Raw genomic sequence first — 17,873 nt, 5'->3', positions numbered from 1 at the left:
TCCACACCCCGACCTTTTATCTCTGCGCCCCAACCACTTTTCCCACTTTTCTGGAAGGTAAGAACCCCCGAACCCCTTCCCTCCATTTCTCTACTCTCTCTTTTCTCTAGGCTTGCTTCCTTCACTATAGGCAACCTTCCACCCTCCATTCCTCCTTCTACTCCCTTGGCCTGTGTTCTCAAAAACTTAAAACCTCTTCAAATCACACCTGACCTAAAACCTAAATGCCTTATTTTCTTCTGCAATGCCGCTTGACCCCAATACAAACTCCACAGTAGTTCCAAATAGCCAGAAAATGGCACTTTGAATTTTTCCATCCTGCAAGATCTAAATAATTCTTGTCGTAACATAGGCCAACGGTCTGAGGTGCCTGACGTCCAGGCATTCTTTTACACATCAGTCCCTTCCTAGTCTCTGTGCCCAGTGCAACTCGTCCCAAATCTTCCTTCTTTCCCTCCCACCTGTACCCTCAGTCCCAACCCCAAGCGTCGCTGAGTCTTTCTAATCTTCCTTTTCTACAGACCCATCTGACCTCTCCCCTCCTCGACAGGCCGAGCTAGGTCCCAATTCTTCCTCAGCCTCCGCTCCTCCACCCTATAATCCTTTTATTGCCTCCCCTTCTCACACCTGGTCAGGCTTAGTTTCGTTCCATGACTAGCCCTCCCCCACCTGCCCAGCAATTTACTCTTAAAACGGTGGCTGGAGCCAAAGGCATAGTCAAGGTTAATGCTCCTTTTTCTTTATCCCAAATCAGATAGCGTTTAGGCTCTTTTTCATCAAATATAAAAATCCAGCCCAGTTCATGACTTGTTTGGCAGCAACCCTGAGATGCTTTACAGCCCTAGACCCTAAAAAGTCAAAAGGCCGTCTTATTCTCAAAATACATTTTATTACCCAATCTGCTCCCGACATTAAATAAAACTCCAAAAATTAAATTCCGGCCCTCAAACCCCACAACAGGATTTAATTAACCTGGCCTTCAAGGTGTACAATAATAGAAAAAAGTTGCAATTCCTTGCCTCCACTGTGAGACAAACCCCAGCCACATCTCCAGCACACAAGAACTTCCAAACGCCTGAACCGCAGCAGCCAGGTGTTCCTCCAGAACCTCCTCCCACAGGAGCTTGCTACACGTGCTGGAAATCTGGCCACTGGGCCAAGGAATGCCCGCAGCCCGGGATTCCTCCTAAGCCGCGTCCCATCTGTGTGGGACCCCACTGAAAATCGGACTGTTCAACTCACCTGGCAGCCACTCCCAGAGCCCCTGGAACTCTGGCCCAAGGCTCTCTGACTCCTTCCCAGATCTTCTCGGCTTAGCGGCTGAAGACTGACACTGCCCGATCGCCTCGGAAGCCCCCTAGACCATCACAGACGCCGAGCTTCGGGTAACTCTCACAGTGGAAGGTGAGCCCGTCCCCTTCTTAATCAATATGGAGGCAACCCACTCCACATTACCTTCTTTTCAAGGGCCTGTTTCCCTTGCCTCCATAACTGTTGTGGGTATTGACGGCCAGGCTTCTAAACCTCTTAAAATTCCCCAACTCTGGTGCCAACTTAGACAGTACTCTTTTAAGCACTCCTTTTTAGTTATCCCCACCTGCCCAGTTCCCTTATTAGGCTGAGACACTTTAACTAAATTATCTGCTTCCCTGACTATTCCTGGACTACAGCTATATCTCATTGCCACCCTTCTTCACAATCCAAAGCCTCCTTTGTGTCCTCCTCTTGTATCCCCCCACCTTAACCCACAAGTATAAGATACCTCTACTCCCTCCTTGGTGACCGATCATGCACCCCTTACCATCTCATTAAAACCTAATCACCCTTACCCCCCTCAATGCCAATATCCCATCCCGCAGCACGCTTTAAAAAGATTAAAGCCTGTTATCACTCACCTGCTACAGCATGGCCTTTTAAAGCCTATAAACTCTCCTTACAATTCCCCCATTTTACCTGTCCTAAAACCAGACAAGCCTTACAAGTTAGTTCAGGATCTGCGCCTTATCAACCAAATTGTTTTGCCTAGCCACCCCGTGGTGCCAAACCCGTATACTCTCCTATCCTCAATACCTGCCTCTACAACCCATTATTCTGTTCTGGATCTCAAACATGCTTTCTTTACTATTCCTTTGCACCCTTAATCCCAGCCTCTCTTCGCTTTCACTTGGACTGACCCTGACACCCATCAAGCTCAGCAAATTACCTAGGCTGTACTGCCGCAAAGCTCACAGACAGCCCCCATTACTTCAATCAAGCCCAAATTTCTTCCTCATCTGTTACCTATCTCGGCATAATTCTCATAAAAACACACGTGCTCTCCCTGCCAATCGTGTCCGACTAATCTCTCAAACCCCAGCACCTTCTACAAAACAACAACTCCTTTCCTTCCTAGGCATGGTTAGCGTGGTCAGAATTCTTACACAAGAGCCAGGACCATACCCTGTAGGCTTTCTGTCCAAACAACTTGACCTTACTGTTTTAGCCTAGCCCTCATGTCTGCGTGCAGCGGCTGCCGCTGCTTTAATACTTTTAGAGGCCCTAAAAATCACAAACTATGCTCAACTCACTCTCTACAGTTCTCATAACTTCCAAAATCTATTTTCTTCCTCATACTGACGCATATACTTTCTGCTCCCCGGCTCCTTCAGCTGTACTCACTCTTTGTTGAGTCTCCCACAATTACCGTTGTTCCTGGTCCAGACTTCAATCCGGCCTCCCACATTATTCCTGATACCACACCTGACCCCCATGACTGTATCTCTCTGATCCACCTGACATTCACCCCATTTCCCCAAATTTCCTTCTTTCCTGTTCCTCACCCTGATCATGCTTGATTTATTGATGGCAGTTCCACCAGGCCTAATCGCCACAAACCGGCAAAGGCAGGTTATGCTATAGTACAAGCCACTAGCCCGCCTCTTAGAACCTCTCATTTCCTTTCCATCGTGGAAATCTATCCTCAAGGAAATAACTTCTCAGTGTTCCATCTGCTATTCTACTACTCCTCAGGGATTATTCAGGCCCCCTGCCTTCCCTACACATCAAGCTCAAGGATTTGCCCCACCCAGGACTGGCAAATTAGCTTTACTCAACATGCCCTGAGTCAGATAACTAAAATACCTCTTAGTCTAGGCAGACAGTTTCACTGGATAGGTAGATTCCTTTCCTACAGGGTCTGAGAAGGCCACCACGGTCATTTCTTCCCTTCTGTCAGACATAATTCCTCAGTTTAGCCTTCCCACCTCAATACAGTCTGATAACAGACAAGCCTTTATTAGTCAAATCAGCCAAGCAGTTTTTCAGGCTCTTAGTATTCAGTGAAACCTTTATATCCCTTACGGTCCTCCGTCTTCAAGAAAAGTAGAATGGACTAAAGGTCTTTTAAAAACACACCTCACCATGCTCAGCCACCAACTTGAAAAGGACTGGACAATACTTTTACCACTTTCCCTTCTCAGAAGTCAGACCTGTCGTCAGAATGCTACAAGGTACAGCCCATTTGAGCTCCTGTATAGACGCTCCTTTTTATTAGGCCCCAGTCTCATTCCAGACACCAGACCAACTTAGACTGTGCCCCCAAAAAAACTTGTCATCCCTACTATCTTCTGTCTAGTCATACTCCTATTCACCATTCTCAACTACTCATACATGCCCTGCTCTTGTTTACACTGCCGGTTTACACTGTTTTTCCAAGCCATCACAGCTGATATCTCCTGGTGGTATCCCCAAACTGCCACTCTTAACTCTTGAAGTAAATAAATAATCTTTGCTGGCAGGACTATGCTGAATCTCCTTAGGCACTCTCTAATCAGATATCCTGAGTCGTCCCAATTCTTAGACCTTTTATACCTGTTTTTCTCCTTCTGTTATTCCATTTAGTTTCTCAATTAATCCAAAACCATATTCAGGCCATCACCAATCATTCTATACGACAAATGTTTCTTCTAACATCCCCACAATATCACCCCTTACCACAAGACCTCCCTTCAGCTTAATCTCTCCCACTCTAGGTTCCCACGCCACCCCTAATCCCGCTTGAAGCAGCCCTGACAAACATCGCCCATTCTCTCTCCATATCACCCCCCAAAAATTTTCGCCGCCCCAACACTTCAACACTATTTTGTTTTATTTTTCTTATTCATATAAGAAGGCAGGAATGTCAGTCAGGCCTCTGAGCCCAAGCCAAGCCATCGCATCCCCTGTGACTTGCACTTATATGCCCAGATGGCCTGAAGTAACTGAAGAATCACAAAAGAAGTGAATATGCCCTGCCCCACCTTAACTGATGACATTCCACCACAAAAGAAGTGTAAATGGTCGGTCCTTGCCTTAAGTGATGACATTACCTTGTGAAAGTCCTTTTCCTGGCTCATCCTGGCTCAAAAAGCACCCCCCACTGAGCACCTTGCGACCCCCACTCCTGCCCGCCAGAGAACAAGCCCCCTTTGACTGTAATTTTCCTTTACCTACCCAAATCCTATAAAACGGCCCCACCCTTATCTCGCTTCGCTGACTCTCTTTTCAGACTCAGCCCGCCTGCACCCAGGTGAAATAAACAGCCATGTTGCTCATACAAAGCCTGTTTGGTGGTCTCTTCACACAGATGCGCGTGAAAACTATGTTCAGCTGATTTTTGTATTCTTAGTAGAGACAGGGTTTCACCATGTTGGTCAGGCTGGTTTCGAACTCCTGACCTCAGGTGATCCACCCACCTCGGCCTCCCAAAGTGCTGGGATTACAGGCGTGAGCCACCACACTCAGCCATGCCTAGGCTGTTTTTACATCTCATGCTGGGAGGAAACTGACAGACCCTACTGCTGTTTTCCTCCCACCCCAGACAACTGCTTTGTTCAGTGGTTGTGGCGAGTTAGAAACCGGGGATGGCATGGCCTAGAGAGAGGAATAGGGGGAGGGGAGTGTCAAATCTGCTATTTGACATCGTCATGACCAGCCTTGCCATTTTGTTTCACAGGTCAAAGTGAGTGTTATCGCCCGAAAGTTTGTCATTCGAAGCTCCTCCATGTCTCACTTAGTGAGAATTTTTCCAGACATTGGCAAGTGGTCTGTTGCCATCTTTAATTCTCAATGCTGTGGCAAAATGTGTTTTTACGGCCTGGTGTGGTAGCTCATGCCTGTAATCCTAGCACTTTGGGAGGCCAAGGCAGGTGGATTGCCTAAGCTCAGGAGTTCGAGACCAGCCTGGGCAACATGCTGAAACCCCGTCTCTACTAAAATACAAAAAGTTAGCCAGGCGTGGTGGCATGCACCTGTAATCCCAGCTACTCGGGAGGCTGAGGCAGAAGAATTGCTAGAACCCGGGAGGTGGAGGTTGCAGTGAGTCGAGATCAGGCCACTGCACTCCAGCCTGGGTGACAGAGCGAGACTCCATCTCTTAAAAAAAAAAAAAAATGTGCTTTTACGCATTTCGGTGGGAAGTAGAGATGGAATATCAAGGATGGTTAGAATGATGGTACATTCCCATGTTTTAAAAAGAGACGGTTGGCAGCCCGGAGTCTGGACTGAAATGAGGAGAAACAGTAAAGTGGCTTTTTGAAGGCCATAACTGAGGCAGGAGAATGGCTTGAACCCGGCAGGTGGAGGTTGCAGTGAGCCAAGATCGCGCCACTGCACTCCAGCCAAGGCAACAGAGCAAGACTCTGTCAAAAAAAAAAAACAAAAACTTTCACTTTGGAGTGAGGCAGACAAAGCTGACTCCACCACTTAACTGGGCCTGTAACTTTCAAGGAGTTGGTATCCTCTAACGCCTTATTCCCTCTTTTGGCTGCTGGAGGGAGGCAGGTAATTATTGCTATCTCCCAGGGTTCTTATGAGGATAAAGGAGATAAATATATGGAAATTTTACATTTACTCTTAAAACCTTGAGGTGAAACCACAGCAGTGAGCAGGAAAAGAGGGAGCTGCCCTCAGGGCAAATGCTAATATCAACACAACAATCCAGAGCTGGACTTTGAGCAGAGGGAGAGCAGAATCAACTCAGGTTCCCGGATTATGCCTGACACAAGGAAAGGGATTAAAGGAATTGCAGGTCTGTAGCTGTCCAAGGCTGTTGCAAACACAAGCCCAAATCTTCTCTGGAAGAAAGAATCCTGAATTCAGCAACAAGGTTTTCCACAGACTGAAATAAACTAAATCAAGGATTACAAAACCCTTCTCTCAGGGAATGCATTTCCAGTCAGCTCTCAACGCCATCAGGGACTTGGCCCAGAAGGCTTCTTTCCAGTGAATGAATTCTGTGCACGGCAGGATCTGTCTTCTCCTCGGGCTTTGATCTGGGGCAACCTGACCTCAGTTTCTCCTTAGAGGGCAGCCATGCTTGCTAACATTTTGATGCCCCGGACTATTCTGTTTAGCTAATGCATTGGCTTTGCTAACAATCAGATTTTACTTTCTGTTGCTATGGGTTTTTTTCTTCTTTTTTAGATATTTTGCCTGTGATCTATATAATTTTATGCCAGAAGACTTGGACTCAAGCATTAAGATGTAAGTGGACATCTGGTGTGACTCAGTCTTGCCTTGTAGGTCTGCTTATAATTAGAAAGAGGCATACCTACATTATAGGGATATGGGTGGGCTTCAGTTAGTACACAGGCTACAGCATTTATATTAATTCATACATAACTTATTTCACACCAACAGCCAACTTAAATCTCAGTATTGTATTATCTGTAAACTCTCAGGTGTTTTCATTATGAAGACTTGATGCCCTATGGAAGTCACAGTCCATATAGATCAGTCTCTATGTGGTGTCATGTTCAAGATACACAGTATAAGAGCCAGAAAAGCAATTATAGAAGAATTTTATTAACTTGCTTTTCCAAAAGAAGATGAGAGTGGATCAGACTCACAAGTTGTAGCAACACTTCTCATATTCCTATGTCTCTTCCCCTCTACTTCTTCCCTTCTGTGTCCCCCAGCACCTTTCGTTTGCTGCCTCCCCCTCTCCACCATGTTGTTCACCTTCAGCCTCCCTCGCCTCCACTTTTCTCACCTCCTATCCCTCCAACTTTCTCCCTGGGTCATTCTCCCTGCCATAAAATCCTTCTTGATCCATTCTTACAAAAGTCTGTAGAGACTGGTCTAGCAATGACAAATGTAGGGAGTGAGGGATGAGAAAAGCATGTGGAAGAGTGGGGAAAGGTCCATCCAGCAATTGCATTCACTTTGGTGGAGTGGGGGGAAAAGGGAAATTTGTGGATAATCCCTGATGAATATTAATTTTTATAACAGAGTCTTATGCCTATAAAAGATAGATATTTATATAATTATAAATGTATGTTACTTAGTGCTTCATATTATTATTATAATAAATATTAAAAGTAATTTATGCCCCAATGTTCTTTTTATAAAAAAGTTTAAAGTAGCTTTCAAAGATGCATACAACATAATAATATGTTCTATTTTTAAAACAGTCAAAAATATCTAACAAAATAATACATGCATTTCCCTTTGACCCAGCAATCCTATGTCTAGAAATTTATGCCTAACATATGTTGACAAAAACAGAAAATGATATACACAAATCGCTATTCAGTACTATGTTGTTTGTAGCAGTCGGAATTGGAAACAACCTAAACTGTACGGCATACCTTACCTATGGTAAGATACAAGAGGAATAAAATATGAAACACCACCCAGTAAAGAACTATGGAGCTAAACAAAAGAATGAGGATAATCTCTATAAACCATTATGGAGTGATATCCAGGATAGCCTCTCAACTAAAAAACAAAAAAAGGAAAAGAAAAAACCAAGGGGCAGAACTGTATATAAAGATTGCTACCTTTCCTCGAAGGATGAAAGATACATATTTGACTATATTAAAAATAAATGGAAAGATAAGTTAAAAACTAAGGAATATTATTGTTCACTGGGGAGGAGGGAACAGGGTAGAGGAGACACAGGTAGAACACAGATATTTCTAAATGTGCTTTGTTGTGTTGTGTTGTTTTGGGTCCATGTTATTTTTTACATAATTATAAAACAAAAAAATTGAATTTTTAAAAATTCTGAAAACTTGGGGAAAAAATTAACCTAACATTATGAAATCTGTGGCTTACTCAATGGTGAATTATTTCAAATGACTTTAAAACATAATAATTTGACTGTTTCCATATATCTCATGGAGGCTGAAGTGTGGGGATGGGGAGTAATTACAGTGTTATTATTTTTATTTTAATAGGGTAAGTAACACATTGTATTAGTGCTTCTATTAATGTTACTGGGAACCAAGATTTTTATGGTAATCAAAAAGAGATTGGAAATACATAAAATCTAAGATGGTAAATAAAAATTCCTATTATCTGAATTTGAATTGGAAATATAAGTATTATATCATAATGAAATTGTATTGCCCATAAAAATTATGAACTTCCTAACTTTGTCTATTACACAGACCTGAAAGAAATAAATCATCAATCCATTAGCAACAAGTACCTCTCAGCACCTGGATCACCAAAAGTGATCAGAACTTTCTGGAAAAATAATTCCTTCAGATATAAGTCAATAAATGTATAAAATGAGCCTGGAATATTTTCTTGTACCAGATTTCAAAAATTCCTATTGTCATGTCAAAAGACAAAAGGCAAATGAAACTAACCTGAAGAAGCTTTCACTGGCCAAAAACAAAATAATTGGATCATCAAAAAGAATAATGGCCACAATTCATTGAAGTACATCAAATATGCTAAAAATCCATAAATTAATAATGATATTTTAAATAAAAAAAACCAACTATTTATTTCAAAAATAGGCAAGGGAAAAATATTACATATTTATCTTGGCTTCCTTATGTAATCTGCATTTTGTGATAACCAAATAATAGTTGAGGGGAAGCTATTCTTTAGAGAAGAATTACAATTAATAAAAGAAAAGGGGCCGAGGCGCAGTGGTTCACACCTGTAATCTCAGCACTTTGGGAGGCCAAGTAGGGAGATCACTTGAGGTCAGGAGTTTGAGACCAGCCTGTCCAATGTGGTGAAACCCCATCTCTACTAAAAATACAAAAAAATCAGCTGGGCCTGGTGGAGCACACTGGTAATCCCAGCTACTCGCGAAGCTGAGGCATGAGAATTACTTGAACCCAGGTGGTGGGGGTTGCAGTGAGCTGAGATTGCGCCACTGAACTCCAGCCTGGGTGACAGAGCAAGACTCTATCTCAAAAAGTAAATAAATAAAAAATAAAAGGGAACAATAGGATCAGAATATCACTATTTTGCAGTCCTAATGAAATAATGATAAAGAAAAAAATCTAAATCTGCTAAACTCATTAATTAAGATGTTGTGGGGAACTTTATAGTGGATGGGTCAGGCTGACACCATCTGATCTTACTGATCAATTAAGAAAAGAAAGGCAATCAGACATCACGTGTCTCCTAATATAACGCTGCAGGAACAGTCCAACACTAGCACTGAAATAGTCACATTAAAAAATCCAAATCTGGCTGGGTGCGGTGGCTCACGCCTATAATCCCAGCACTTTGAGAAGCCAAAGTGGGTGTATCACGAGGTCAGAAGTTCGAGAACAGCCTGACCAACATGATGAAACCCTGTCTCTACTAAAAATACAAAATTTAGCTGGGCATGGTGGCGCGTGCCTGTAATCCCAGCTACTCAGGAGCCTGAGGCAGGAGAATCGCTTGAACCCGGGAGGCAGAGGTTGCAGTGAGCCTAGATCGTGCCACTGCACTCCAGCCTGGGTGACAGAGTGAGACTTCCAAAAAAAAAAAAAAAAAAAACATACCTGATCAGGCCTGTAGATAGTCTAGAGGAAATACGAAGTATGAGGAAACGTCTCAGACAAAAACCACAAGAATGTATCACCAAAGTCCAAAATGTGAGCAATTCTACAAGATACATGATTTTTTTTCCAAATAAATAAATGGTAAAGAAGAAGAGGGGGAAGGAGGACTGCTATAAAGTTAAAAAGAATTGAGACGCACAACCCGATGTGATATGTGAACTTTCTGACTGAATCAAATCAACTATAAAAAGGCATGTTTGAGATAACACAGACAACTTAATTATGTACTAAATTAGATGATTTTAAGGAATTCTTTTTGAAGAATTATGAGGAATTATGAAGAATGATTATGAAGAATTTCAAGGAGTTGCATTTGGAAATTTGAAATTTAAAAAAAATTTTAATAGTAAAAACAAAAGCAGAAGGTAAAAGGGAATAAAACTGTAAATAAGATGGATCCAGGACTGGATTTGGGGCATAGATGTATACATGTGTTATAGGAGTACCACAAAACAAGCTCTATGTTTGCAGCTACCAATGTGAGAAGGGAGAGAAAAATAGTGAGAAAGTGCTCAGTACCTACTCAGCAAAAACAAACAAGCTTTTCAGGTAGAGCATCATTCTACTGCTAAGTCCTGAGCAAATCCTCTGCCCTGGATCATCACTTAAAACAAATCCAGGACAGCTTCCCTTTTTAATTTGATTGGCCAAATATTTAAATCCTTTACTCCATACCCCAACCACCTGAACTATATAAGACCAAAAGACCCCTCATCATTTAAGAAACATTTGTTGAACTCTACTATATTTCAGTATGTGTGGTAAGAGTAAAGTATTTATTTACAAAGAAGGCAGACTCTGCTGTCAGTGAACTTAGAGTCTATAGTGATTTGCTGGCATTCATACAACCATCACATCATGCCAAGATAGATAGGTCATGAGAGCGAATAACAAAGATCTCTGGAAGCGGAAGGATTCCTCTTCAAATTCTCAGGACAAGTTAAGGTTTCTTACAGAAACACCATAACTGTGTGTTGTTAGCACAAGATGGGTTTTGCTGGGGGTGACATTCCACATAAACCAAAGGCAGAGGTGGTCTGCACATCCTTCTGGGGTGCTTAGTACATGAGCTCCCCCCTTATCCAAGGTTTTGCTATCCATGGTTTCAGTTACTCATGGTCAACCATGGTTTGAAAATAGGTGAACACAGAGCAATAAGATATTTTGAGAAAGAGAGACCACATTTACATAATTTTTATTACAGTATATCTAATCATTGTTCTATTTTATTATTGTTAATTTCTTACTGTGTGTAAGTTTTGTTTGTTTGTTTGTTTGTTTCATTTTTTGAGATGGAGTCTTGCTCTGTCACCCAGGCTGGAGTGCAGTGGCGCGATCTCGGCTCACTGAAACCTCCACCTCCCAGGTTCAAGCGATTCTCCTGCCTCAGCCTCCTGAGTAGAACTACAGGCATGCACCACCACACCCAGCTAATTTTTGTATTTTTAGTAGAGATGGGGTTTCACCGTGTTGGTCAGGATGGTATCAATCACTTGACCTTGTGATCTGCCCACCTTGGCTTCCCAAAGTGCTGGGATTACAGGCGTAAGCCACCACACTCTGCCCACTCTGTGTAATTTATAAATTATCATATATCATATAATTTATCATAGGTATGTGTGTATAGGAAAAAACGTAGTATATTTAGGTTTCAGTACTATCTGCAGTTTCATGTATCCACTGAGGATCTTGGAATGTATCTCCCATGTATAAGGGGGGACCACAGTACAGAGACAAGCATTAAATTGGTATTTACAATTGACCATCAATCAGAAAAATTATACAAAAATTTCGATAGGCTCCCACAGTGGTAGAGATGTTTATAGGGTTCGAGGACCTTTAATGACTATTCTTCTCCTTCAAGTAAAACTGATAAGTTATTAGTTAGTAAGACAGTAGCAGCGGCTTTAGTTCATTTGGTAGTATTTGTCCAGCTCTTGAGGTGAATGTGGTCTCTGTGATGACTTTTAGAAATGTCAGATTTCTAGTAAGTCAAGTCTATATAGATTATTTTGTTTATGCATACATATATAACATGTGAGTTATTTGATTAAATGCATATATGCCTAAAAAGGTATATCCACATGTAAATATGTATTTATATGTATGTATGTATTACATATAAGCACCTAATTTGTATATACATCCATGGCGTTATTTTTAAAAACTTAATGAGATTGTCTATTCTCAGTGTCTAGAGAATTATTCAATATGAGCTCTGTAGCAACACATAAGTGATAAAGTCTATAATGTAATGGCATCTCTCGAAAGCCAGCCTTGGGCCCTGTCCAGGTAGCTGAAACATTTGGCTGCCCAGTGCTCCGGAGGATTGCTAAAATTAGCTAGAGAGAAAAGAGGCAAATATATCTTAAGGATGGCCGGGAGCTGAGTCTAACTTCACTTCTTTTCCAATAAAGTGACTGTCAAAAACCAAAGATCTGGGCTAAAAAGGGCTTCAGAAAGCCATTTGATTTCAGTTCCAGCTGAAGTGTGAATTTCTTGTACGGCACAAAATTAGTTATCTATTGCTACATAAAAAGTTGTCCTAAAACTTGGCTTAATTCACCCAAAGCAGTTATTATCTCAAAGTTTCTGTGGGTCAGGAATTAACACATGGCTTAACTGAGTCAGTTGTGCTCAGGGTCTCTCATCGGGATGCAGTTAAGATGTTGACCAGGGTCATAATGACCTGAGAGTTTGACTGGAGTCGGAAGATCCATTTCTAAAACAGCTCACTTGCATTGTTGGCTGTTGTTAAGAGGCCTCAGGTTTCTAATCTCATGGGCTTCTTCAAAAAGCTGCTAGAGCGTCCTCCTGACATGAAGACTGGTTTTTCCAGAGGCAATAATCTAAATACCAGGGAGGTAGAAACCACAATGTCTTTTATAACCTAGTACCAGAAGTAACACTGTCATTTCTGCAGTATCTTATTGGTTACATAGTTAATGCTATTCACTAAACAAGGTATGAACACCAGGAGGCAAGGATCCCTGGGTGCCATCTGGGAGTCTGGCACACTCACCCACAGGCCTCCCACTGTTGCTTGAATGCTTACAGTAATGGAACCTCATTCCACAAGGCAGCCTACCTTACCATTAGCCGCTCTGATGGAAATTACTCTCTTGCTTTGGGTTGTGATATGGTTTGCTTGTGTCCCCACCCAAATCTCACCTCGAATTGTAATAATCCCCATGTGTCAAGGGTGAGGCAAGGTGGAGATAATTGAATCGTGGAGGTGGTTTCCCGCATATTATTCTCAAGTAAATGAATAAGTCTCATGAGGTCTGATGGTTTTATAAATGGGAGTTTCCCTGCACGTGCTTTCTTGCCTGCTGCCATGTAAGATGTGCCATTGCTTCTCGTTTGCTTTCCGCCATGATTGTGAGGCCTCCCTAGCCATGTGGAACAGTGAGTCTATTAAACCTCTTTCCTTTAGAAATTACCCAGTCTTGGGTATGTCTTTATTAGCAGTGTGAGAACAGACTAATACAGGTTGTAAATATTATCCCGCCTTTTTAATTCTTCTCTGTATCGGGAGGCTGAGAAAACAATGCTAATCCTTCTGTGAAAAAAAAAAATAGTCCTTCAGATATCTGAAGATGGTAATTCTGTACCTTCTAGTCATCCTACTTCCACATCCTACTCCACCCCATTCTCCAGTTCCTTCACTTCTTTTTGTCTATGTGAGGAGCTTTAAGACAAGACTCCTTATCCCAAAATATTTATTTAAGAATAGGTGAGGGCACATGTCCCCTCCCCAGCTTTTCCTTCACCTGCTGTCCAGCCATTGTGTCAGTGTCCTCACCTCTCCTAAGCAGGTCATCTACCCTGGGGGAGTGCCTACATGCCATCTCATCAGCTACCAGAGCTCAATTTTCAACCAGGAGTTTCATCCTTCTTTAAAAAGGTCAACTGAATCCCATACAAATTTTATGTGGTAACAAGAGAAGGAAAAGAGAGCCCTGGCCCAGTAGGGCTTCTCATCAACTTCATGACCCACACTAACTCCAGTGATCACTAACCTAAGACACAAAGGTCTAAGCAATAAAGAACTCTGTCTTGGGGCAGTCTATATTCTAGGGTGATGGGAATATTTCTGTCTGCAATAATTTTCTATTTTACCATCCTATTTCCCTTTTTGTCACCTAGATTCATTTTTCTGCCCAGCAGTCAGAATGACAGCTTTGAAATATAATTTAAATCATACTGCTCCCCTGCTCAATTCTCCAATGGATTCACATCACTTTCAGAGTAATATCCAATTTTCTCATCATACATACAAGGTCTACCTATCTTTCCATCTCATCTCTTGCCACTTCAGCCTCCCTCACTCTGCTGTTACCATACTGACTTTCTTGCTGTTCTTCAAACATACCAGACTCTTTCCACCTCAACACTTTTGCCCTTGCAGTTTCTTTTACCTACACTCTTCCCTGGACCTTCCCATGTCTTGCTGTTACTTCATTCACAGTTCTGCATGTCACCCTCTGAGTGGTTTCCATAAATCACCCTATTACCCTCTATTTATTTACCATTAGTTCATTTTCATGTTAGTACTTATCACTAACTAGCATTATATTGCAGTAGTTGTTTGCCTATTTGCTTATTGTATTTCTTCAGTTTTGTTTTCTAATGCCAAGAACGGTGTCTGGCACTCAGTAACATCAGGTAAATAAAAGAATGAAACATCCATTAAAATGAATTTTCCTAGCCTGCTTTCTGAGTAGCGCTTGGTATCTGAGTTAGTGATATTATAAAATACATCTTTTTTGGTACCTGAGTACCTGCTAACTGTATCTTGGTAAATCTGTTCCATGCCAAATTTCTTTCTGTTCTGATGATTCAAACCTTAGCAGTCAGACAGAGCTGAACTTGGTCCTGGTAATAAAAGCCTTTCCCTTAGGAGAGCTCTTTGCAACTGAGAGATGTGGTCTCCTAACCCCCGAGGTGTAATTTGAGCAATCAGGCCAGGTGAAACCCGAGCTGGTAAGGAATAAGAAAGGATACAAATGATGATGTTGTTATGGCTGTTCTAAGACACAAGGGGGCAGCAAATCCAGCTCTTTATTTATTTAACGTGGTAAGAATTTTTTTTTTTTTTTCTCAACTTTTATTTTAGATTCATGGGAGATATGTGCAGGTTTGTTACCTGGGTATACTGTTTGATGCTGAGGTTTGGAGTACAAATGATCCCATCATTCAGGTACTGAGCATAGTACCCAATAATTATTCAACCCTTGCCGCTGTCCCTCCCTCCCCGCTCTAGTAGTCCCCACTGGCTATTGTTTCAGCTCTTATTTTTAAAGGTAAAACAGGAATTTTGACAACTATCATTAGTTATCAAAACTGATGGAGATGTTCAACAGATTAGATAAATCTATGGAGATTCAATCGATTAGATAAATCTCAGTATGTCCACACAATGAGTTTCTTCTGGAGGAATGCAGTAATAATTTTAGCTAAAATTTAAACCTTGGCCTAAGTTATAAAAGGACTGATAGGTCAAGGAGTGAGGGCTTAACTGTTACCAGGGAGACAGCCCGTGTGTCCTGTAGGGCCACTGGGAACTTCGTGAGGAGGTGAGCCGCAGGAGAACACGCTTTCTGAGCAGGAAGTGGGGCTTCTGTGGAAATCAGGATTGTCAGACGCTTAATCCTAATTGCCACCCCCTTGGGCCTACACACTGGGGCAGGGAACTTACCAAGTTGTCCATGTCAAAACGTACTTTGGAGCCCTCACTCTTAGCTCTTTTTCCACCCAAACTTTATAAAAACACCAAAAAGTTCAAAAATATTGAGTAATCATCTGTAATACCCCGAACAACAAGGAATAGTGTCATGAATGGACCAGAAACTTAAAAACATTTTTTTCAGGAAACGATCCAGATGGGAAAAGATTGCACAAAGTCTTGACCGACTAGTCACATGTGAAAAGAGGGCCTGAAAGAAAAGTAAATGAATAAACCCCTTCCCAGAACCTGAGAAAACCATCAGAATAGAGCAGAAAGGCTCAGGGTGAGGGCAGGGGTGGGCAGCTGAGGGGATCTGACTGAAGGAAGATGGGATAGAAAGTTGTCCCATTCCAGCAGGTATAGCTAAAAATAAAAATAAAAAAAATAGAAAGTCATGGAAAGCAACAATGTAATCATTGTAAACATAGTTATGAAACAATGTTAGGTTACTATATAATTATTGAGTGATAAAGTATGCTGCAAAAAAATCAATAATCTATATAACTTAATGCTAGACAAGCTTTATTGAGCAACTGCTATGTACGAGCACCATGCTAAGTGCTTGATATGCATTATCTCATTTAATCTTAATATAATTACCTACATGGTAAATTCCATGGTTATAGCCACTTAAAGGATAAAGAAACAAACTCAAAGAGAACTTGACCAAACCCACACAGCACGAAAATGCTACGTAGGCTGGTCTGACTCTGAAGCCCACGCTTTTAATGACTATAGGCAAGCCACACCTTGGCATCTTACTCTGACATCACCATATTCTCGCTGCAGCCCATTGCGACTAAACAAGCCACAACCTCGCCCAGGACTCCTACCTTCCAAGCACCTACAGATTTCTACCTTCAAGTTATGAGCCCAGAAATTCCCTTGGTACTTCATCCCTACTTCATACTACACACCTATTAATTTCATTCTTTCTTTCTTTTTTTAAGAGGGGGTCTCACTCTGTTGCCCAGGTTAGAGTGCAGCGGCATGATCATGGCTGACTGCAGCATCAACCTCCTGGATTCAGGCAACCCTCCCACCTCAGCCTCCCAAGAAGCTGGGACCACAGGTGTGCACCACCATGCCTGCTAATATTTTTTATTATTTTTATAGTGACAAAATACAAAATATTCCCTATGTGGCCCAGGCTGGTCTTGAATTTCTGGGCTCAAGTGGTCCTTCCATTTTAGCCTCTCCAAATGCTGGGATTACAGGCATGAGCCACTGTGCCCGGCCTATTAATTTCATGGATCAGAATTTTCCTACCCAGCAAAGCCTAGGATCTACTGACCAGCTTTAACAAAACCTCCAAGAGACCTCCACTGCTTCTCTCCCCATCTCTAACTGTTAAAGCAAATCCAACTTTCAGGGGCTAGCTCAAAAGCCATCTTTTCCCGGAAGCTTTCCTGATTCTCCCAGAAACAATTTTTCTCTCTCAACTCTGACTCCAGGAGTCACTTGTGGCTTTCCCTTATAGCCTTCATTCATCTAGATAGAGGTGCAGCATCACACAATCCTAGCAGCATGCACAGAGCCTATCAGAGAAAGCACTGGCTATAGGTTCGGGCTCAGCCATAGGTAGATTACTCATATGGTCCCAGAATTTGCCACTGTGCCCATCCTGATGGGCTCACATTAGCAATCATAATTTTTCTGGCTTAATGGATACCTAACCCAAGAAGCAGCTATATCAGGAAGACCACCTCAGCTGAGACATGGGCAATGTGGGATACACAGCACAGGACCTACCCACAACAGGGCCTCCTCTCAGCCTCAGCTAAATATGCATTCGGAATGGAGAATACTCACTGACCACATACATAGTCACTCCCTAGAAGGAGGTATAAGCAAGAGTATTCAGGAATCATTGCAAAGAGAATGCAAGCAGACTCGAATCTTCTTGTTGCCTACATAAGGCCAAGCTAAACGGTTCTTTGAGGCTGCCTGATCAATATTAGAGCTGGGTAACTCAAAGTTCAGAGGCCTGAGAGAGCACGACCATGGCAGCTGCTCCCTCATAAAATTCACCATTACCAGGATTTTTCAAGGGGGTGCCTTTGCACATGTGAGGGAGGAGAGAGGAGGAGTTAAGGGAAAAACAGTTTGCTCCACATGGACTCTGACTTCATGCAGCAAGGAGGCCCCACTCTGGATGCTCCTCAAGATGATCCCTCTCCCTGGGGGTGGGGTCCTGACTTCTTTGGCCTCTCTCAGCATTGTGAGTATGACGGCCAAGGTCATCCCCCTGCAAGCCTGGACCTATTAACACTGCCCAGAGGGGAGCAGCCGAGGGAGAGGCCCCGGAACAGGAAAAATGTCCC

General features: G+C 42.3%; 4 annotated features.

Annotated features, from left to right (window-relative positions):
- Positions 2,505-3,180: an enhancer, noted in NCBI's record as "H3K27ac hESC enhancer chr3:186894725-186895400 (GRCh37/hg19 assembly coordinates)". NCBI's record gives its function as "activates a minimal SCP1, AML or CMV promoter by ChIP-STARR-seq in primed H9 embryonic stem cells {active_cell/tissue: H9 hESC(primed)}" and the evidence as "EXISTENCE:reporter gene assay evidence [ECO:0000049][PMID:30033119]".
- Positions 3,392-4,222: an enhancer, noted in NCBI's record as "OCT4-NANOG-H3K27ac hESC enhancer chr3:186893683-186894513 (GRCh37/hg19 assembly coordinates)". NCBI's record gives its function as "activates a minimal SCP1, AML or CMV promoter by ChIP-STARR-seq in naive and primed H9 embryonic stem cells {active_cell/tissue: H9 hESC(naive and primed)}" and the evidence as "EXISTENCE:reporter gene assay evidence [ECO:0000049][PMID:30033119]".
- Positions 4,223-5,054: an enhancer, noted in NCBI's record as "OCT4-NANOG-H3K27ac-H3K4me1 hESC enhancer chr3:186892851-186893682 (GRCh37/hg19 assembly coordinates)". NCBI's record gives its function as "activates a minimal SCP1, AML or CMV promoter by ChIP-STARR-seq in naive and primed H9 embryonic stem cells {active_cell/tissue: H9 hESC(naive and primed)}" and the evidence as "EXISTENCE:reporter gene assay evidence [ECO:0000049][PMID:30033119]".
- Positions 8,773-9,274: an enhancer, noted in NCBI's record as "NANOG hESC enhancer chr3:186888631-186889132 (GRCh37/hg19 assembly coordinates)". NCBI's record gives its function as "activates a minimal SCP1, AML or CMV promoter by ChIP-STARR-seq in naive H9 embryonic stem cells {active_cell/tissue: H9 hESC(naive)}" and the evidence as "EXISTENCE:reporter gene assay evidence [ECO:0000049][PMID:30033119]".

This window comes from Homo sapiens, chromosome 3 (genome assembly GCF_000001405.40).
Source record: "Homo sapiens chromosome 3, GRCh38.p14 Primary Assembly".
In the NCBI taxonomy this organism is placed as follows: Eukaryota; Metazoa; Chordata; class Mammalia; order Primates; family Hominidae; genus Homo; species Homo sapiens.
This window is presented reverse-complemented; position numbering and strand designations above follow the sequence as displayed.